The 23,282-nt window shown below is 36.7% G+C and overlaps 1 protein-coding gene and 1 pseudogene across 5 annotated transcripts in view, besides 1 other annotated feature; one reads left to right on the top strand and one right to left on the bottom strand.

Moving 5' to 3' along the window:
- The window catches only part of WDR70 (WD repeat domain 70), a 374,118-nt gene that overhangs the window by 34,434 nt on the left and 316,402 nt on the right, over nt 1-23,282 (bottom strand). For all 5 annotated transcript variants that reach the window (NM_018034.4, NM_001345998.2, NM_001345999.2 and 2 more), the window contains 3 exons: nt 21,248-21,347; nt 17,860-17,944; nt 15,915-16,053 (listed from right to left, as the gene is read on the bottom strand). In NM_018034.4, the coding sequence (NP_060504.1) occupies nt 15,915-16,053; nt 17,860-17,944; nt 21,248-21,347 (324 nt within the window). The remainder of the gene's footprint in view (nt 1-15,914; nt 16,054-17,859; nt 17,945-21,247; nt 21,348-23,282) is intronic.
- Nucleotides 1,121-1,415: a silencer, noted in NCBI's record as "tiled region #9268; HepG2 Repressive DNase unmatched - State 5:Enh, and K562 Repressive DNase unmatched - State 9:DNaseU". NCBI's record gives its function as "represses a minimal TATA promoter and a strong SV40 promoter by Sharpr-MPRA in HepG2 and K562 cells {active_cell/tissue: HepG2 | K562}" and the evidence as "EXISTENCE:reporter gene assay evidence [ECO:0000049][PMID:27701403]".
- RNU6-484P (RNA, U6 small nuclear 484, pseudogene) lies at nt 18,565-18,671 on the top strand (annotated as a pseudogene).

Here is a 23,282-nt window from a genome sequence, read left to right as displayed (position 1 = left end):
CCAATTTAAAACTGTGCCCCAGAACTCCCCTTAGTCTGCTTTTCTTTTTTTATAGCATGTATCATCTTTTAATATAATATATAACTTATTTATTAATGATGCTGATTGTCTGCCTTCCCCACTAGAACACATATTTCATGGGCAAAGATCTCAGTCAGTTTTGTTTGGCAACATATCCCAAGTGCCTAGATTAGTGTCTGGTGCTCAAAAAATGTTCACCAAAGGAATGAATTAAAAGCTACAGTTCACCCATGCCTAAATGGATTGCTTTGCTAGGTAGAGCTGGAGACAATTTTCAAATTAAAATCATTACTCCATGAGAAATAATTTGATTTCCTCATATCATTATTATACTCAGGTATCCTACAAATGTAGCAGGGTTAGATTCCTCCTAATGTGGTCCTAGAGAGAGAGAATGTACATGAATCACAGAATAATGAAAGCGGCTGTCAAAGGCTTTCAGAAATCTCAGCCACCCATAAATGGCCCAGGACAATATTAAGGGCACAGTATTAGAGTTATTTCTCTTTCTTGGTTCTCTAGAGGTCTGGCTCAGCAGTCTAAGATTACTAGTTCTCAAATATGTTTTCAAGTGAGCAGGGTGCAGAATTGGAAAAGATCCACAATGTAGGCCTGATAAATTCCAAGACATCCAGCCAAACAGGCAGTTTCCAGGGGCAGCAGGTTACTGTTACTCTCTCCCTCTTCACTGAGGGTGTAAATGTTAGAGAGAGGCAACTGCCCAAGCCAACAGACCAAGGTCCAATTGCTTTCCAGGGAGTCCAAGGACACCTCACCTCTATTCCTGTTCACATCCTGTACCCTCCAGAGCCTTTACACACACATATAGCTGATTAGTATATGTTCTTACAGAGAAGCATATTTACCCTCCTTTCATGCCGAAACAGGGAGAGGCAAATAAGACCCCTTAAACTAAACAGTCATTCCAGAGCCCCATGCACTGTGGCAATGAGTCACTAAGCAGCAAATGAGAGGCCAGTGAGCAATCTGATTTAGGCAGAGGATACTTAAGGCTCAATTACCCTAAGACCAGTTATTAATCAAATACTACAAGGATTCTAAAACACGAAATGAAGAAACAAAATTTAAAGCCAAAGGTGGGTGGGCCTTTTTTGTTTATTAATATTTATTGTGTGTGTTTAGCTAACCTTTGTAAACTTTGCAGCTAATGCGGCTCCACATTTTATCCTGTCAAGGAAATGCATCTTATAGCAGAGAGCTGGCTACCTGCCAAACCAAACAATCCCTGAGACTGCGGCAGGGCTGGGAAGCAAGCTGAGCTGCCACGCTGCTAACTTGTCAAACATACATACCGGCTTTGCTTAACAACAATGCGACACGTGCCTGCTAGAAGCCTAAGGAACCAACATCAGAAGACAGATGAGCTATAAATACTTAGAAAGAGTACAATCCCTCGATCAACCAACCACCCCAAACTTTCTTCATCCTGTTCTTGAAGAAGTGCTTCTTTACTGGGAGCGTGACACATTCAGACCTAAGGAGTCACTGAGAAATGCAGCAAATAAAGCATAGAGAGCACATTTGAATAAAAGGACCAGAGAACCAGGAAGGAACATCAAGACATGAGATCTACAGAATCAAAGAGAAAGCCCTCACATTATATCATGAGATTCCAATGGCAGAAGGCCACTGCAGTGCAAAGAACTAGGTTCTGAAATTAGTCTGCATATTTTAATAAACTTATTTGCTTAATTAAATTGACAAAGTGTTTTATTCTTACACTAATCTACTTCATTTCCTAAAACATGTGGGTTCACTAATGGCTTCCTCTAGCTGCCAAAGTTGAACTTTACATTTCAGCACAAAATGAAGCTTATTCTTTTAAACCAAAGCCCATTTTCATTTTAACCCTTTAATTTGGTAGTGGAGGGTAACCACAAATTTGCCCAAAAATAAGAGACAAGAACTGGAATAGGAGACCATAAGCATGACTAGAAGGAGTTACAAGACCTTAATGTGCTCAACAGAGAGATTTTTTTCTTCTCTGCAGAGACCAAAGAAAAAAGAGAGGGGTAGGCCGGGGAGAAAGAGAGCACGATGTCGAGCTAGCAGTGTCAAAATTCCAAAATAGGAATTTTGGAATTACCCCTTAGCAAAAGTGAAAAGACCACAAAAATTTCCAAATAATTTATTTCTGTGGTTATTTTGTTTACTTTTAGAGGAACCAGGGAAGCAAATAAGGGGAGGAGGAGAAGGAAACCAAAGAGAGAAATGATTTACATTTTAGGACATGGTAGAAAGGGAATTATTAGGTACTGGAACTTTATATTATTTAATATAATTGAGTCCTCACAAATACTACAAAATTAATAATCTCATCCCATCTCACAGATGAAGAAACTGAGGCTGTAGAGAGTGGTAACTTTCCCAAGGTCACATAATAACTCGCACATAGAGGAGCTGGGTCAATAAGCAGGTTTCTCCAACTCCACTGTTCATTCCCTTACTACTTAACCATGCAAAGCCCTATTTGGAAAGATGGGGCAGAAAGAAGGTAGCTGACATTTAATCATATCCAAACCCACCTAACCCAGTAGAAACCTTAGCAAGTTTGTATTAAAAAGGAGTTATTACTAAAATCATTTTTTTAAAAAGCCCACTAGTTCCCAGTTCACAAATGTTACTATAAAAGAAATCAATGCCTGCGTAACATCTTAGGGATCTGCAATGCACATATCTAAACAACGCCCTTATTCTACATGCTAAAAGAAAGCCAACAGCCTTCATAACTTTATACCTTAAACATGATTATGTTGAAACTCCATTTCCGGATCCTCCACAGCTGCTGACCCATACTGTAAACCAAACTCCATCTGGTTTTTTCACGTTTGGTTTTTGTCATATAGTACAAGAATGGATAAGCTAATGCAGTGATTCCCTGAACAAGCATTTTTCACAATTTTCAAATGAAAAGCCTGACACCTGTCCGTGAAGGAGTCTGTTACACAATTTTGCAGACTTGTATAGAGGCAGTCTTAGAGTTACAGACATCCTTGGGACTATCCAACACATTTGAATGGGTGTGTGTGTGTGCGTGTGTGTGTGTTTGTGTGTGCAGATTCCAGACACTAAGAAAGAAGATCAAGATGTGAACCCAAAACAAATAAAAAGAAAACAGATAAAAACAAAAAAAATACTGGAGAAAGAACTTTCTTCAGACTTCCACAAGCCCAAGATATTCTTCACAGAGAAAGAAAAACTGTTTTCTATATTAAAATATTGGGCCAGGGAAGTATGAGAGTAAAATGGGAATTGTTTCAACTTTTCCAGGCTATTTGTCCTGTCTTTGTTCCCTCCACTCTCTCCCAAAGCCTTGCTTTTCTCAAACTTGGGATGGCCTTGCCACATGCATGGGCCACAAGACTTGGCTTCATCCCTCTGAAGTTCAGGAAGCAAACATGGTGAGTAAGCCCCAGTCTCCAATAACTAAGACTCATCACCACCTCCTGATCTCTACAGATATCCCCTCAATGGAAAAGTTTAAAGGCAGACATTTTCTCTACACATCTTGCTAAGTGAGCATATGCCTCTCCTTTTCCCCTCCTCCACATTCCTCCAGTTCCAAGGAAATTCTACCATGGGCCAGACTTGTGGCAACTGTCTTTTTTTTTTTTTTTTTTTTGCCAGAAATCTTCTCAATCTTCTCCCTTCCCTATCCTGAAAAATTCTCTAATAGGCCAGATAGGAGTGCAATGGTGAAAAGAAAAAATGCCATAGTACTTTCATAAATGTGGGGGCTGCTGCAGAAAAACCAAGTAAGGGAAAGTGTTGCTTTGCACCTGTCATACACATTTGATACAGATGCATATATTATGCATTTTAAAAACTGGCATCTAATTATCAAATTAATTCCCAGAAAACTCATGGAAAATGCTTTTACTAAAATAACTCATTTACAGTCTGTGCTATAAAATAAAGGTAACCACTAAAGCAGCAAAAATCTGGAACCTGGTAGTCATCCTTGGCACTAAATGAATCCCATCTGTATCTGATAATAAACCTGCTTAAAGAATTTCATCATGAGAAAAAGTTCTCAGAGAAAATGGAAGGTCTCTTGGGAAGTAAAATTAAATACAATTTTGTTCATCTAATTCAAAACAGTAAAAGTTTGCTCCAACCCTGTTACTTGAGAAGAATTTGTGAAGGCAAAGAAGGCATAAGTAAAGACTGAAGAAAGTCTGGTAATTATTCTTATTAATGATAGTCTGTGAGTAGGAAACAAACAGGAGACTGGGAACAGGAGTCCACAGGGTGAGTGACCCAGGTGGGTGGTCGTCCTGCAAGGCAAATGACCCCAGAGGTCCCACCTCATGGGATCCACTTAGATGCAGCAGAGCTTCCCACTGGTGGGCACAGAATGGGATACCAAGATATGGTAGGTGTATCAAGATATGGAGCCCCTCATGCCTAAGAGGAGCCTGGGGCACTGGGGCTAGTCATTTCTAGAGAAGAGGAGCCTTATCTGTTTATATGACATATTATCATTTATTATGGAGACCAGGTTGTGAGAAGGCATGGGAAGCACTATATGGCTATTTCTCTTCATTTAAGACCCACAGTGTAAACCCAACTCCACCTGGTTTTTCTATGTTTGGTCTACACAGACCTGGGCTCCTTTACATTTCTTCATTTATCAACAGAGATAGGCATAAAGATAATGACCATCAATCCTATGTTTATATAAATAAAACAGTAATGCATGAAACTTTTTAAATCTCTAACTGCTAGATAAGAAATATATGTAATCAGATCTTGGAAATCATTAAGTATGTAAAACCAAGAAAACACAGGAAAAGCTGAATCTTCCTGTATAGACGAACTACGCAGGATATGTAAAATATTATTTATCTTACTATAGTACAGGTAAAGATGTTTTAAATATCATACTCTTTTATTCAGTCCTTTGGGGGTCTCACAACCCATCCTCCTACAAGACCACTATCTATCATTTCCAAAAAGGAAAAATACTATCCCGGGATGCATTTTAATTATAGAACTTGTTCTTCCCCACACTATATATAATTGTGAAAGTTTGGCCAGAATTCTGATAGAACAGCTGGAAAACTTGTTACCAAAGATCATTCATCAGATTCAGGCTGAGGGAGAAAAACTGTCAGAAAATCCTACAAGACATAAAGTCCTTCACTTGGTCCATCAGTGGGATGTGATACGGTGCTAGGGTTAGACAATGGAGCTCTAGTCATTACTGTATTATTTGTTTACACATTATGAAAAGAATAGTATCATTCTGAACATTTTTAAACATCTACAAATCAAGTTCTCTTTTTTTATATTTTATAGAGGAAGTATGTTTCTCCCTAGTGAATAAGTATTACCTAATAATAATAAGTAAATATAACATTATAATAATAAAATTAAGTACTACCTAGTGGCTGATTCCTTATCTAGCTTTGCCATTCATGGCAATCATGTCTACACAAGTTTAAATACCTATTAAATAAATTTAAATATTTATTAAATAAAATATCAAACTTTTGTGTAGAGAAGGGGAAAAAAGTTCCTGTTTAATCAAAAGGGATACACTGACTATTTCTATTGTTTCAAAGGACTAGAAATAGAAGCAGAAAAATCTTCATTTGCAAATGCTGGCACTACTAAGGAGTGGATGTTTTTTAATATAGCTTGTAATGGGGTTAAATGATACTAGGAAATGGATAAACTATTAAACTGGATAAGCCCTCCTTTTGATCCTCATTCTTTTGCTCGCGAAGTCTAAGGCAGCACGTGATTGGCCCTTCATCTCACCCTGTAACTTCCCAAATGAGATCACTGTTAAATAGGTGGTCATAGGAAAAGACACTTCACTGCAGGGTTTGAATCTGGATTCCTACAGTAAACGTTATTTCAAAGAAGAGAACATAGAATAGAGAATCTAAAAAACTGCATCTGAATCAAGAATCTGCTAGTTACAAAAAATTTATAAAGTTATTATTTTAAGAGAGAATGAGGCCAGGCGCGATGGCTCACTCATCGCCTTGGGAGACTGAGCTGGGTAGATCACCTGAGATTGGGGGTTGGAGACCAGCCTGGCCAACGTGGTGAAACCCTGTTTCTACTAAGAAAAAAAAAATTAGCTGGGCATGGTAGTGCACGCTTGTAATCCCAGCTATTAGAGAGGCTGAGGCACAAGAATCACTCGAACCCAGGAGGTGGAGGTTGCAGTGAGCTGAGATCACACCACTGCACTCCAGCCTAGGCAACAGAGAAAGACTATGTTTCAAAAAATAAAAATAAAATTAAAAAGTTTTTTTTTAAAGAGATAATAAAGATGAGAAAAACAAAGTGATAAGTACTATATCACATCAGTATTTGTCCCCTATTCTAATGAAGAGTAATGATTAGACTTCTGATAAAATAAAGTGTCAAATTCAAACAAATAACTTTTGCTTCAAAGCACAGAGTATATTTTACAAAATAGATCCAGGAAACATATCATATTCATTAACAGTGTAACAACCAAAACAAATTATATTCACTAGAGTTTAAATTACCAGTATTTTAAGCATCTGCAGTAAATCTGTGTTTCCTCTAATGAACCCAAAACCTGGCTATTTGCAATGAATCTGAAAAAAGGATCATCTAAAGTTTTAAAGTAGTAGACAATTAAAATAAATGTATACTTCTTTTATCAATCCTAAAAGAAAATGTGGCCGGGTGCGGTGGCTCTCGCCTGTAATCCCAACACTTTGGGAGGCCGAGGCGGGTGGATCACAAGGTCAGGAGTTCAAGACCAGCCTGGCCAACATGGTGAAACTCCGTCTCTACTAAAACTACAAAAATTAGCCAGGTGCGGTGGCAGGTGCCTGTAATCCCAGCTACTCAGAAGGCTGAGGCAGGAGAATTGCTTGAATCCAGGTGGCAGAGGTTGCAGTAAGCCGAGATCGTGCCACTGCACTCCAGCCTGTGTGACCGAGTGAGACTCCGTCTCAAGAAAAAAAAAAAAAAAAAAAAGAAAAAATATATGCACTGAAATTCCAAATTGATTTTTAAAAACTATTAACCAAAAAATAAAAACTTGAGAAGGTGGTAAGGAATAGGCCATTACAGTTAGTCCCAACAAGAATATAATAGAATAAAATGTAATAAAAGGTAAAGCAAAATTAATAAATACATTTTCACCAAGCATCTACTATGTGCCATGTATTACATTAATAAACATTAGTAATATGATGATGCCCTTACCACCCACATGACACCATCAGCCCTGAGGAGACCCTTACTCCAATTTGGTCACTGGAGAGTTTAGAAATGGCTGAGAAGAGAGTATCAAAGACAACAGAGGTGTGGAGAAAACAAGATCCACAAGGAAATGTTAACAAACAAAAAGAACAAAAGACTAAGTTTGGTTCCCTCAGACAAAGACAAGACTGAACAGTAACTTTATAATCTTCAAGGAAACAGAGGATGTTAACCAGCTGTTCTCCAACTCCATGAGGACCAGAGCAAAGGATGTAGGCTCTAAACATGAGAATGTGAGGCTAAAAATAAAGAAAAAAATGATCTGACGGTAAGGGATTTCATACACAGAAATGAACTCTTTAGGGAAGTTGTAAAATCTGTTAAGTCTAATTTTTATACAGGAGAGTTACGTCGTAGTGTGCAGGTAGGCAAGAGGAATGAGCTCTGGAAAATAATATTGAGAAACTGGGCCAAGTATGCTTAATACCAATGGCAGCTAATTAAGCAAAAGCCAGTAGCTCTGCCTTGTGGCACAGTTATGTCAAGGGAACATACTGCCCAAGTAAGAGGGGTGACTCATTCTAGGAGCAATGACATTATTTTATTTCCTACCATATGAATGTCCCTCCAAATGTGCAGCTAACTTAGAAGCTTCCTCCTAAGCACATTTGCTATAATCTGTACTGTTTCATTTTGTTTTTTCCATCACCATTGTAGACAGTAGAAACATACTCCATTCAGTCTCTCCCTCTGAATGTTGTTTAAAAACCAGGACAGAAGGCATAGGGTTTTTCAGAGACCTACATACTTTTCAGAGACCTATCTGAGGACTCTGAAAAGTAAACAGTAGTAGGTGGATTTGGGAAGAAGTCCATAATTCAAAGTATCAGTCAAGCAGAAGTGAGTTACCATTTCCCCAACTCTAGCCTCCACCAATAATAATAATAATAAATAAATAAAAACAAAAAATCTATGGCAAACAAAACATCAACATTTTAAATAAAGACGGGATCAGTCCAACTGAGTTTTCCTTTTGCCTTAGGCTGTAATACAGCTTGGCACAGCACTGTTACTGATCCCATTTTTATTTTAAAATTTGGTATTTTATTCACCATAGATTTTTTGCATTTTTTATATTGTTGCATTAAAATGTTACTTATCTTGATTACTAAGTGTCTTAGTGTCCCTGTAAACTTTGTGATTGAGGAAAGCATCTCACTTGCCTCACCCTAATCCTGGCCCTGTCTGTGGAAATATTGTCTTCCACGAAACCAGTCCCTGGTGCCAAAAAAGTTGGGGACCGCTGATTTATATGACATTCTTGAAACCACAACACAATAATTATGGAGAACACATCAGTGAATGCCAGGGCTTAGGAGTTGGGGGTGGAAGAGGGGGTGTGTGTGTGACTATAGAGGGATAGCAAAAAGGAGTTTTTAGGGGGTACTCTTCTGTATACTGATTGTGTTGATAGTGATTACATGAATCCATACATGTGTTAAAAACCACAGAACCGTATGCTTTCTTAAAAAGATCAATTTTACAGTATCATAATTTTTTAAAATAATAAAAAGGAATCAGCACTAAACTAGTTCCTGTCATCTTCCCTAACTAAAAACATGTTAAGATTTGATATCGTAGATATTAACAGTTAAACCACCAAGAAATCTGAGGTATCTTTCCTCTTTACTCTCATGTGCCTACAAATAAACATTCAACTGTATTCTTCAAATCTGAAGAACAACTGCTCTGGAACCTTCATAATATGATACCTCTAGGTGAATGAGAACCAAGAAGTAATTTAATCAAGTCTTATTGATGCTGGCTTAGTAGGTGAGCCCAGCTGAATTCAAATTCCCATTTAAATTATATGTGTATGCTGCTTGCTTTAGGAAATTCCCCAAAAAGATTTAAGTTTTTCAAGGTGGTCTTGTAGTCCAAATTATGAAGGCAGCAAAAATGCAACATTGTTTTTCACCATATTCCACTGGCATCTCTTTTCTTCAGTGATTAAAGAAAATACTCCTAGAGATAGCAGTACTGAGTGACCACTGCACTTCTTGACAGTAAAACATTGTCCTAATAAGCCATGCTAGAAGTTGGCTCTTGACCCTGGAAAAAAGATAGGGGCAGAGAAAGAAACATGTACTGGCAAATTTACACTAAAACTCCATCATTTTCTACTTGCTCCCAGTTTTCCTATCAAATATTCATACATCTTGGAAGACCAAGAAACAACCAGTGCTCTGAAACTCCACCTTTCTGTTCTCAGTGAGCAAGTGCTCCACACACCTATGTTAGGTATACTGTCCTATCACTTGGCTGTGGGCAAATATAATATTTTTATTAAATACAAATATGTTACTCAGGCTCCCTCTAGGATATGCATTGTTTAATCCTCCTAAAAAAAGTGAATTACAGTAAAATTTCATTAAGCTGATATCATGTTATTCAAAATAATACATAATTCAAAGCAAATGCTATTCCCTAGTCAACCAGCTGCCTGATTGCTCCATAATAAAAATCAGATAATGGAAAGCTGGTTAATTCAAAGCCCATTTTTTCCATCTCCTTGTGTTTCACATTAAGGAGGTTTCACTATATTTTAGAAGGCAGACAAATGCCAAATGTAGTCTTTCAAGTTTATTTTCAGTTAGCATTTGCAGTGCTGATAGCTCAAGTTCTCCCTGTGTAATGCTACTCCTTGTATGACTCTGGGCAAAGACAATGCTTGACTCCTTTATTTCTAGAAACTTAGAAGGAGGTGCCATTCTGCCTGAGTTGGGACTTTATATCAGTAAAACAGATAATTACTCTATTCCCAGTATGAAATGAAAGAACAGATGAGTTCCTCAACTCCTTCAGAATCAAACTTTCACAGGCATAGTATCATTAATTTGTTTGAAGTGAATTCCCAGATCGGCTATATCTACATTCAAATGTAAGAACAAAGATACATTCCAAAGCCATTTCTGAGGACTTGTGGAATATCCATTAATTTGAATTACCTTTCTGCTTCCCTCCCTAAGTACAAATAATGGAGGCTGACTATAGTCTGAATGGCCGTATGTCCCTTACACATTATAAATTAAGATAAATAGCTAGGTTCATAAAGGGTCTATTATTTCATGGCCCTTTTTATCCATTTAGTCTTCCTCTTCAATCTCTCTGAATTAAAACATCAATATTCTCTCTTAATAAGAACACAAAAACTTTTTTGTGAAATGAAAAGTGCTAACACATTCATTTCCAGAATATACTTTTTAAATTTATGTTATGTATAATTATGTTACATGTGTAACATGTAATTATATATAACATATACAATGTTATGTATAATTTTATATGTTATATATAACATTTATACCACACCAGGCCTTTTCAATCAACTTGAAAATGTTAGCACTTTCATTTCCACAATATATACTTTCTCAAACTGTAGAGTTAGCCTCTTGAAAACAATGATCATCATAATACTTCAAACTGACAGAACACACCAGATACTTAATATTTTCAGTTTTCTTTTTTAGAGAACATGAATGAGGTATGCATATTATACATTTCATTTCTCACAGGAAAGGGATATTCTGAAAAACAAGCCATGATAGAAGGAAGTAAAAATATAAGATAATCCTTGTTCTTTACTATTTAAAAAACGTCCCAAAGAAAATCAAATATTATCTAGAAATCAAAAATGAGGTTTTTTCTTCCTTAAAATACCTTTACTATCATATTTCTTATGTTAATATTAAGATTTTCAATCAACTATATATATATATATATATATATATATATATATATATATATATATTTTTTTTTTTTTTTTTTTTTTTTTTTTCTTTTTTTGAGACAGAGTCTCACCCTGTCGCCCAGGCTGGAGTGCAGTGGCGCCATCTCAGCTCACCGCAACCTCTGCCTCCCAGGTTCAAGCTATTCTCCTGCCTCAGCCTATGGAGTAGCTGGGATTACAGACTCCTACCACCACACCTGGCTGATTTTTGTAGTTTTAGTAGAGACAAGGTTCATCATGTTGGACAGGCTGGTCTTGAACTCCTGACCTCAGGTGATCCACCTGCCTTGGCCTCCCAAAGTGCTGGGATTACAGGCATAAGCCGCCATGCCAGGCCTTTTCAATCAACTTTAAAATGTCCAAGGCATACTAGTTGAAAATATCAAAGCATATTTCCTTTTCTGTTGCTTCAGAGGCTATATGCTAGGTTATGCTAGATGTTATAGCAGTGTTTTCAAAAATAAAGGTTTAGTTTTTTAATTCTTTCTTATCCTCATTTTGTTCAGCCAGTATTTACAAAACTAGAGGTCTCTCACCAAAGTACCTAAGCAAACAAATAAATTAGAAAAGAAGTTAGGCTCAGGTGTAAAATTTCTGGCTTTTTTCCTTTCCTCCTTTTCCCTCTTTACCCATGGGAATGCCTGCTATCTCTGAAATTATTGCCAAAAGTGAATGAGGTACAGAGACCATGAAACAATATCAGGTTAAAACAACCTGATTAACCATGCTTAAGTTAAAAAATATAAATGGTAATATACTGGTACAATTGCATAAACCATGTCCCTTGGTTCATACTAGTTAAAAAGAAAATTCTATTAGTCATTTCACAATAAATTATCATTTGTTGAAAAACTACCAAGCTAATAATATTGTTATTTCAGAACATTTCCCTAAATACTGGCTCTTAAGAAAAGCTTAAAATTTAATAATTTCATCTAAATAAAATTAACTTTAAAAATTGACATGTCATCACCAAGTTGTATTTTATCCATTCTTTCTTTCCTGTGCTTTTATTGTATAAAACAGAGTAATGGAAGCCCTTTACATAATACATAAAAAGCATAAACTGCTGTCTTACAAAAAAAAACAAAAGTGAATTTGTAAACTCAAGATTCAAGTTATATTCTGGAATTCATCTTAGAAAAGAGGCCAAGCATACTATTCAAATCACAAAGAATTAGATAACAAATGAGGGGAGAGAGAGAGAGAGTGTGAGTGTGAGTCTGTGTGCGTGTGTGTGTGTGTGTGTGTGTATTACTCTGTTCTCACACTGCTAATAAACATATACCCTAGACTGAGATATTTATAAAGGAAAGAGGTTTAATTGACTCGCAGTTCCACATGGCTGGGGAGGCCTTACAATCATGGTGGAAGGTGAAGGAGGGGCAAAGGCACGTCTTACATGGTGGCAGGCAAGAGAGCAGGTGCAGGGGAACTCCCATTTATAAAACCATCAGATCTCATGAGACGTATTCACTATCACAAGAACAGCACGGAAAAGACCCGCCCCCATGATTCAAATACATCCCACCAGGTCCTTCCCACAACATATGAGGAGCTACAATTCAAGATGAGATTTGGGTGGGGACATAAACAAATCATTTCAGTGTATAATTTGAGGAAATGCAATTAGACTACAAGGGAATGTCTAAAAATTTTAGCAGAATTGTAAAATGCGTGCAAACATCGTATGGTGAAATAGCAAATGTTAAAGAAACATACACCATCTCCTAGCAAACAGACTTGAGAATCTACAATGAACAGAGAAAGGAAATTTTTCAAAGAATATGACAATGCAGAGAACAGAATTAAAACAAGTTTTGGGTTTTTAAAAAACTTTGTTTCAAAAATAATTATAGAAAATGCCCTTGCTATATTTTTAAGAAGCTATGTTTTTGTGAAGATAGTTTTTAGTTAAAAGGAATAACTGCATAGATTGTTAACATCTTCTGACTGAAAACAATGTTTGGCTCCACATATGTATACTGAGCCTGGTGTCCTAGAATATAAGCATGTAGGGGTTTATTCTGTTTTAGAAGAGGGCGTGGGAAGAGCGTAACCAATTATATGTGTCCAGTAAATGAACACATCTAGGATAGACATAATGCCATCACTGTCTGTGCCTTAGTCAAACAAGTACACTACTAACTGCTGATATTAAGAATCTGAGATGCTGCCTTTTATGCAAATTAAAACTCAACACAGTTAAGTTCCTTACTACCTTGGAGTGTGGTATTTCCAACACAAAATTATAAAAGAGGTGTCTTTTGGCTCTTCTAGCAAAGTGTCCACCTTTTATTCATTCCAAGAAATGTATTTTTTTTTTTTTACATTCCAAGAAGACGTAAAACTTGGGACAATAGGTCAAACGGACTGTTAAAAGCCCCATTTATTTAACATAGCATTCTAATATATAAACAGAAAAATGATGCTGTTTGATGTTAACAATAACAACAAGCCTTCACCCTCACTAAATCAACAATTTAATAGGACTCTTTGGGGTGTGTGGTTTTGTTCCTATTTGAAGTTCTCTCTTCATCCATCTATTACAATGGATCTCATAATTTGTCTTCCAGCTTTTCTCAGATGATTCAATATTGTATGTTCTATTTATTTAATGAAATTTCTCCTTTCTTAGTTTCATTTGCTCGTCTCTTAAATGATGACATTTCTTAGGGCTCATTTTTCTATCCTTTATTCCCTTACCTTAATCAAACTCATCAGCAATCAACATTTCAACTATGCACTATAAATGTTTTTACCAAAACTGTCTCTTCTTTCTCTTATGCACCAAACTTATTAAACCATCTGCATACTGAGTATCTCTACACAGAAGTCCTATAGGTATTTCAAGCTCAACATATCAAGAACAGAATTCACTGTCTTTCTTCCAAAATCTGCTTTATTTTATCTCTATGTATTTTTACGTCAATGAACATTCACCCAGTCTCCCAAATTATAAATTTCTGGCTTCATCTACACAGACTCACCAAATCTTATATAACTAAACCTTGTATTTCAACAAGAATTAACCATTTCAAAACTTAGATCTGAATGTGTCTTCCTCTGCTTTAAAAAAAAAAAAAAGACACAAGATAGTCATCTTCTAATTGTATACAAGACCAGTTTTACCTTTCTAACTCTAGATATCTCTCTCCTGCCTCACTCTCCAAAGACACACCTAACCGAAGATTTACACATGATCTACAATATGCCTTACTTGCACTTCCCAAGTATATCTCTCACTCATTCAATTAATATTAAGAGCTATTTATGTGCCAGGCACTGTTGAAAGCATCGAGGATACTGCAGTGAACAAAAAGTTTCCGCCCTGTGTGACTTACATCCTGGTAGAAGAAGACAGACGAAACCAAACAAATATACAATATATGAGGCAGTGGTAAGTACCACGGAGAAAAAGATCTACCTATAAAAGTAACACAGAGAACAAAAATGTATCACATTATGAGACACTGATTTTTCCAGCAAACAGTATGTTCTTCCTATAAACTACAGAAGCCCAGCATGTCTTTAAAAGTGCAATCATATGTCTACATCCCTTAATTTATTTACAGTTCAACTTAAGCTACAATTTAAAAATACATCAAGTGTGATACTGAAATGTATAGTCATTTAGAGGCATAGTAGAACACAGCTTATTTCTGGAACAACCAATTACAATAATTTTACTTTCTGAGATGAAAGTTGATAGATTCAATTGTTTTCTTTGATTCTAGTGTTTTAGTTGGCTCCTAATGCACCCAGAAAAAGCACTGTGAGTGCTGGCACATTTCAAATTACGTCATGAGATTAGAATCTATTAAACATAAGTACTCATCTAGAATTAATCTCATTTTTATTTCACTTTTCCTATAATACTCTATACCGTGGTTTTACATTCAGAACCCGCAAATTAAGACTTCATAGTAATACTAGAACATTAGAGACAGGAGTTTTTTGCTGGTAATTTAAAAACAGTTGTTCAATTGTCTGAGTCACGTAAGTGCATAATATGTCTCAACTGTTTACAAAGAGCTGAAACAACTGGAAAAACCTACATAAGAGCACTGTTTAAGATATAGGATATTACTAAAAGATTTGACAATGAGCCAAAGAAAATTTACACAGACATTAATTGGCCTGTTTCATACTCAGAAAATTACAATGATTTGCTTTACCATGTAAATAATAATATACAGCTTAAAGGAATTCAAATTTTCCTCTGGGAATTTTCATTCTTATTGTATTACATGTGGCTCCAGTCTCAGTCTCAGGACATGAACAAATGAATGAATGCATCAGTGAATGCTGGTGTTTTAGTGTTCATATAAATCTGTAAAGAAAACTAATGTGTTTTTTTAAGGTGTTGAAGTTAAATCTGAAATGCTTTAAACTTCCAAATAATTAAATAGCAATTAAGTTCAGCGCAAGCTGAGCCTGACTTTAATGACTACAACCCACACAAGCAGAGTTCTGTCAAAGTTTTCATGGTTTCGGGAACAATGTTAAACTTCGTCACTTATTAATCTTTCACTTCTGTCGACAATCCCTAGATCCTCACAAACATGCCCATTGTGGGATGCTCCTTTCTGTATCCTACATGATGATCATCTTCCTCACTCCTCAATTTGTTTGGCAGAGAGGGAAACCCAGCTGAAATTCCTACTAAAGTGTAGGTCCATAGGAAATATTGGGTTGTGGAAAGGGATAGGGTAGCTCAGCCATCCACAACATACTGATAACTCCTACGCTAGAGTGAAAAGCAGCTATCACCGTGCTCTAAGGGCCAGGGCTTATATTCTACTTAACAAACAAAACCAAAAGATGGGTAAGAGGCAAACTTTATGTATTCTCAAGGCTGAGGAGAAAAGAATATACGTACCGCATCTGTGATGTCTATTTCATACACCCTTTGGAAAGTCCTACGCTCAAAGAAAACAAGTTTGCCGCTGCCACATCCTCTTTGAATAGATGTACCAGTGACTATGAGCTTATCATCTGGACTGAAACAGCAGTCAGTCCTACAGAAAAAAAGAGTTTACGAGTATAAGCTTATGACCTCCACAACAGTCCAGCAATCATTAGTGAATTAAATAAAATATAAACATCTCTGTAACTCCTATATAGGGCTTATGAGTCAAGCACTTATATTAATTTGTTTAATCGTCACAATAATCCTATGTGGTAGTTATTATCCACATTTTACTGATGAGGGAACTGAAGAAAATAATTTAATTACACCTTGCACACGGCAACAAAAGTAAGTAGCACAGCTGGGATTCAAACTTAGGCAGTCAGACTCCAGAATCTGTGCTTTTTAACTTCTACATTGTAATTTTTTTAATGTAAAGGAAGTATAAAAAGACTCAATATAGACATTAAGAGTGTCTACGGACAGATATATATTTGACTAATGTCTAAGTAATGATTATTTTGGCCATTTTAAAAACTATTTTCACTAACACCACTACCATCACCCCCAAATAATTTGAGTTATATCAAGTTGAGCACCATGAAATGAGCCACAGGTTGCATTGCTGGAACCTAATTGATGGCTATGATTCCAAGGCTTTTGTTGTTAGCAGTCTGGCCATCTGATTGTGACTAATCTAAGACATGACCCAAAGAAGTTATATAGTTAGCATTACTTGCAGCAGGTATAATAGCTCAAAAAATTACCATCAGAAGTTATATAGTTAGCATTACTTGTAGCAGGTATAATAGCTCAAAAAATTATCATCAGCTATAAACTCATGTTTGTTCGTTTTAACATAAAATGCCATGGGCAGCAGACATGTTAGAGTTAGTACTGCATTATCATACAGCTTTCATACAGCTTCCTTCCCTTGACACTTCCATTATCTTCATGCTCTTCTCTGTTGACCATTATTTCATTTCTACCAAAATAGAACAATTTGCCTAAGCACCAACTATAGGACTTAGAGGTCAAGTTTTGCCTCAGCTGCTTCAAAAAAACCTTTAAAAGTTTCAGGTGCCAATTTAGTAGATTGGAGATAACAGCGTTCAGCTACCCACAGCAAGACAGTCTGAACAAGTGAAGGATGCTGAATTATTGATTTGAATGATTTAAAAAATGAGAAAATAAGCTGTACTATAAATGCTCAGTAATATTAAAAACTGCCTTGAAGGTATTAGAGCTCAATTTTTTTTTTTTTTTTTTTTTGAGATGGAGTCTGGCTCTGTCCCCCAGGCTGGAGTGCAGTGGCGCAATCTTGGCTCACTGTAAGCTCCGCCTCCCAGGTTCACACCATTCTCCTGCCTCAGCCTCCCGAGTAGCTGGGACTACAGGCACCCGCCACCACGGCTAATTTTTTGTATTTTTAGTAGAGACGGGGTTTCACCGTTGTTAGCCAGGATGGTCTTAATCTCCTGACCTCGTGATCTGCCCGCCTCGGCCTCCCAAAGTGCTGGGATTACAGGCATGAGCCACCATGCCTGGCTGACTAGAGCTCAAATTTTTAAAAACCACAAATTTTAAAAGGCCTACCTTGTCATTTATACAATATTAAAAGAACAACTGAATCTCTTAAAATATATTTTAATACTCCAAGACTTGTGCGTGCATACAATACACACAAACACATGAATAAATCAAATACATAATTTTAACTTCAAAAAAGTTCTTGAAGTCTGAGGAATGTGAAAAATAAAAAAAATACATATTTTTCAAAAAACAGATTTTGATCACTCTCTCAAGTCTCTTTTCCAGAAGATCTAAAAGACGTATGATATAAATTAACATTAAAGTAAAAGTACTTCTTTTCCATTCTTCTATGCTGATCAAATATTTAAAATATGCTACTTACATTGGGAACATGGTGGGAAGACCCGAGGCTGAAAAAAGTGGTTTATTAAATTGTCGGATGTCCCATAATTTTAATGAATCGTCACCTGACAGAGGAATGAGGGGAAAAAAAAGACAGAAAAGTGAATTGTGCAAAAAGAACTCGCTCCCAGTTTAGAGTCTGCTAAACTTAATGTATAACTGTAAAGAAGAAAGGGAAGGGGAAGGGGAGAAAGAGAGAAGAAAGAAAGGAAGAAAGAAGCTAGATTCACACAAGCATGTTTTACTTTTTTAACCGTTCAGAGAGCTTAAAAAGCGGTAGTCGCAAGAGCAGTTGAAAGCTATTTGATAATGAATTGGGCTTCTGGAAATTACTTTCCAGATAGATGTAGCATCTGCAAGCTAGAAGGAACCCTGGAGAATCTACTCTGAAGTATGATATTAGAGCAGATGGTAGTTCCCCCGTGGTGTATTTGAGCATACGTTACTTCTTGAGAAGAGTTTAATTTAACAACTATCAGGACTGAAAACAGTTCAATCCACAACAGATTCCTTTTCCCACTGGTGTATGGGTAAAGCTATCCATTAACATTAATAAGGGTGAGCCATGTGATTCCCTTCTCTCCAGTGTAATTCTACCTACAGCTATCATTCTTCACTTTGCTGGGGAGTACAGCTTTGCCAAGCTATTTAAAGAATAATGAGTATTTTTAAGGAATCACTTTTTGTGTTCGCTTTGGCAGCACATATGCTAAGACTGGAACGATACAGAGAAGATTAGCATAGCCCCTGCACAAGCATGACATGCAAATTTGTGAAGTATTCCATATGTATCTTAAAAATAAATTTTTAAAAATCCCTTTTTAATATTTCTATAGGACGAATTCCTGAACAGAAAAGCCAAACTTATATACATAATGTTTTCGCTGTTCTTTCTCCCCAGTGCCCACAGCTGAGACCTGCCTCAACCCCTTGGGTCCAATAAGGAATGAGAATCAGGTGCAAGTGAGGAGAGTAAAGAGTTCAGTAAAAATCCCCATTTTTACAGCGAAGCTTCCTCTGAAACCCAACTTTTGGCAGGTGCACTAATCCACAATTGGCTGGACTCAGGACCTGCTTGTACTGGGAGAACTTTGTAAGGCTCACCTTTGGAATGTTACTTTATTGCTTTTAGTCTGTTTTTTTTTTTGTTTTTGTTTTTGTTTTTTGTTTTTTTTTGAGACAGAGTCTTGCTCTGTCACTCAGGCTGGAGTGCAGTGGCATGATCTCAGCTCACTGTAACCTCAGCCTCCAGGTTCAAGTGATTCTCCTGCCTCAGCCTCCCGAGTAGCTGGGACTACAGACATGCGCCACTACATCCAGCTAATTTTTGTATTTTTCGTAGAGACAGGGTTTCATCATGTTTTCCAGGCTGGTCTCAAACTCCTGGCCTCAAGTGATCCACCTGCCTCGGCCTCCCAAAGTGCTGGGATTACAGGTGTGGGCCACTGCACCTGGCCTGCTTTTAGTCTTTAAAAAAAGGTTACATATCTCCACAATCTTCAAACAATAAGAAAACATTAACCTGTATTAATTCCATCTAATCCAGCGGGTTATGCAGCTAGCAGAAGCACCTTGTAACACCCTGAGGATTCTTTGCTGAATAGACTTCCATCTGCCATATTGTATACATCCAGGAAGGAAAACGATGGAATACAGCATACATGTGGTATTGACCAATTAAGTTATCCAAAAGCTAGTGTGTGTGTGTGTGTGTGTGTGTATATATATATACACACATACATATATATACACACACACACACTGTGTGTGTGTGTGTGTGTGTGTGTGTGTATGATGGAAAGGAAAGTAAGAATTATCACCAAAATGGCTTTGACTGAAATAGACTTAGTTTTATACTTCTAAGGGAGCAAATATCAACTGGGTAATTACTCAGTTGAGTAATTTTGGGCTCACCTATTTTATCACCTGTGAAGAATTTTCAAGCTACACTCTCCCTTTTTCCCCTCTTCTCCCCTAACTCCACCTCAGAGACTTGGATATACCATCCCAAAGATGCAAGAGTGGATGTAAGAATTCCTAAGTGGAGCAATTATCATTTGAAAACTTTCCCAGGGGATTCAGATACACTACTGGGATGAGAACCATTGTTTTAAATAAAGAATATATAGAATTTTAATTGGGAATCATCTCTGAACTCAAGTAGCAGGTTAGAATTGATGGACCAAAATACATATTTTATACATATCCACATTTGCCATGTGTATCATAAATAGAGAATTACATGTACATGTGCTTTGATTTTTTAAAGTTATACAAATGAGAGTAGTTTAGATACAACAGTAAAGTTTCCTTAAAGAGAATCTGAATGAGTTCCCCAGGGTAAAAGGACAGGGACTAGTTAAATTGAGGGGAAAGCTGTGCCACATCTCTTGCCTCTCTCTTCATTTCCACTATCCTATACACTGGGTTGTAAAGTCTTTCAGGAAAAGGATTCTGTCTATGATGTTTAAGGTTTACACCCAGCACCTAGCATAATGTTAGCTCATAGTAGATGCTCAATATACAGTAGTCGAGTGACTGAATGAATAGCTAAATATAGCACTGTTAGATTCACCTGCCTAAAGGCCCTCTGTAGCATAGTTCCCATCTACTTAACCATGCTATTAGTATTTCTTTTCCTTATGTGATATTTAAGACCCTCTGTAACATGGCTCCAAACTACTTACCATGCTATTTCTTTTCTCTCCCCACAAATAGGTCTGTAGGAAAATCTTCAGCTATGTCCCATACTCTCCCATAATGCTGCCTTCACTATTCTCCATCTCCTTCTACCAATACACAACCTATCTATGTGATAAAGATTTAGCAAAAAAATTAGGAAGCTATATCCAACCATACAAATGTGGATAAGTAAACTTACAATATGATCATATAGAACTGTTTTTAAAAATCTCATCTAGATATAGACTTTTTTAAAAAAACTAAATTGGGTTAGTATTTGAACTGGCAGAGAAAAAAAAGCAATGGTCAAGCAACAAATAGAAGACTTTGAAGTACCAGACACAGAATTATAAAATGGTATAGAAAGAATATAGGTGATCATCTATAAACTTCCCAAGGCAGAAGCAAGGATCATTTGTGGAGGCTTCAAACTCTTATGGAATTTGAATCTAAATGAAAAACTTAGGCCAAAAAAAAGTAAATATTTAAACATTTTACTTGGTAATTTTTAATACAAACAATGTTGCAAAGTTAGAAATGTATTTTAATGAAGAAATCAGACTGGCAAAGGTGCATTAACAAAAATCAAAGCAAGCTTTACTAAGCACTAGGATATTATTGTCATATTTGTTAAAGATGATTATTTTATATAGAGAAATACATCAAAAAGAAAGCTTTTAACCTACCTCCACGAGAGGCAAGGACATTACCATCATAGGAAAAAGTCACGCAAGAAGTGTCTGTGCCCGAGTCATGAGCCTGTTTATAGTGGAACTTAGGATGAACCTATTCACAAAGACAAACAAAGTGTTAATATCTCACCTCAATTCAGAAGAGAACAGTTTTGTGGCAAGAACATTTCACTTTATTACGATGAAAATAATACACACCTATAAGCAAAGTACTAATTTCACATGATTATAATTTGCTTTCTAAAAAAAAGAAAAACCAAATGGCTTTTAAAAATATCCATTTGCTTTAATAAAGAACAGAGAAGGTAAGTCCTAGCAGGAGACATTTTTCCAGATTGCCCTAGCAAGCTCTATACAAGACAAGACTACAATAACTTCTTCTTATTTACTTCTTCATATTATGCTTATAAAGTTATTGGGACAATTTCCAGTATTTATCTGAAAGAGCAAATATAAATCAAAATTACAAATGAGCACATTATTTATTTACCCCAAAATATTTATTGTATTCCTAGGATATGCCATACACTCTGCACATGGTTGGAGGTCTTAATGTGCCTGTGGAATGAATAATGATAATAATAACAGCAGCTAACCCTTACACAACGCTTATCATATCCTAGGCACTATATGCTTTCCTATCTTGCCTATTTAGTCCTCACAATCACTCTGTAAGTTAGGTTCCATTATTATCATCTCCATTTTATAGTTTGAGAAACTGAGGTACAGAAACTTAAGGACCTTGTCCAAGGCCACACAGTTAGTAAGTAGTAGAGCTGGGGGTTTGAAACCAAAAAGACTATTCTTAAATACTTCATTATAATCCTTCTCTTACTGATTTATCTTAATAGTATTTTTGCTTCTAATGTTGCTTCTACACAGTTAAAGACTTGTAATTCTACACCAATCTTGCCACTCAGTTATGACTCAGTAACTGGCACAAGGTACTAGGAAGTCAATTACCTCAAAAAGTGTGGTCTATATGAACAAAGACATTTGGTCCATTAAAAACTTTCTCCCCTACATAGCTGTCATTAATAGAGTAACCTCTATAATAGGTGTGTGTGCACGCGCGTGTGTGTGTACCTGTGTACCCACACACACATGCCATGCTGGCTAATTACACAATGGTTCTGGGCCATTACCAACTTTCCTAGGGTAATTCCATAGCGAAAGACAGGGGCACTGCTGGTAATGACAGCATGTGAGTCCCTCCTGGGAGCCACAGGTATGGTAATGCAAGTGAGCTCATCTCCATTGCTCTTGTAGCAACCCTTATGAAGAATGAGTCACAAAACAGAGCTCATGTACTTTGCCCTCCAAATAATATCCCTGACACCCAATCCCTGGGCTTACACCTAAAAAAATCCAGTAATGAGTACACCACCTTACAAAAGCAGGCCAGTTCATTTAAATAATAATAATAATCTGTATATATTGAGTGAAAACTGGCTTCTCAGTTCTTCCTCTGGGTAACAGTCTTGGAATTTTATATTAGTTATCATGCTTCCATCTTTCATGGATACAAAGAATTCATTGATTCAACGGTTTTTTTATTGGATATCAACTGTATGTATGGCAGACACTCAGTTAAGCAGAGAAAACACAAATGTGCCCAGATAAACATAGCTTCTAAAAGACTTGGCAGTCCCCAGAAAGGATACAGATCAGCACACAGAGCGACAAGTGCTACAATGGGGAAATACAGAGTAATACGTGAGCACTGAGAAGGTCCTAACCCAAACTTGACAATGAGGGAGAAAAGAGGGGCAAAAATAAATCAGAGACCTAACAGATAAAGTAGAAGTTAGCAGTTGCAGGAGCAGGAGGTGAGGGCAAGAAAGAGTATTTCAGTCAGAGGGTACTGCACTGTGGTAAGCCGAATTTTTATCCTTGTGACCTCTGCCCCCTAGTGTGATGTCCATGAATACCTTATATGGTCAAAGGAACTTGGCAGGTGTAATTATGGTTACTAGTCAGCTGACCTTAAAATAGGGAGATTATCTTGGATTGCAGGTGGGGCTGAAGC

Source organism: Homo sapiens, chromosome 5 (assembly GCF_000001405.40).
Source record: "Homo sapiens chromosome 5, GRCh38.p14 Primary Assembly".
Classification (NCBI taxonomy): domain Eukaryota; kingdom Metazoa; phylum Chordata; class Mammalia; order Primates; family Hominidae; genus Homo; species Homo sapiens.
Note: the sequence above shows the minus strand (reverse complement) of the source record. Positions and strands in the feature narration are given on the sequence as shown.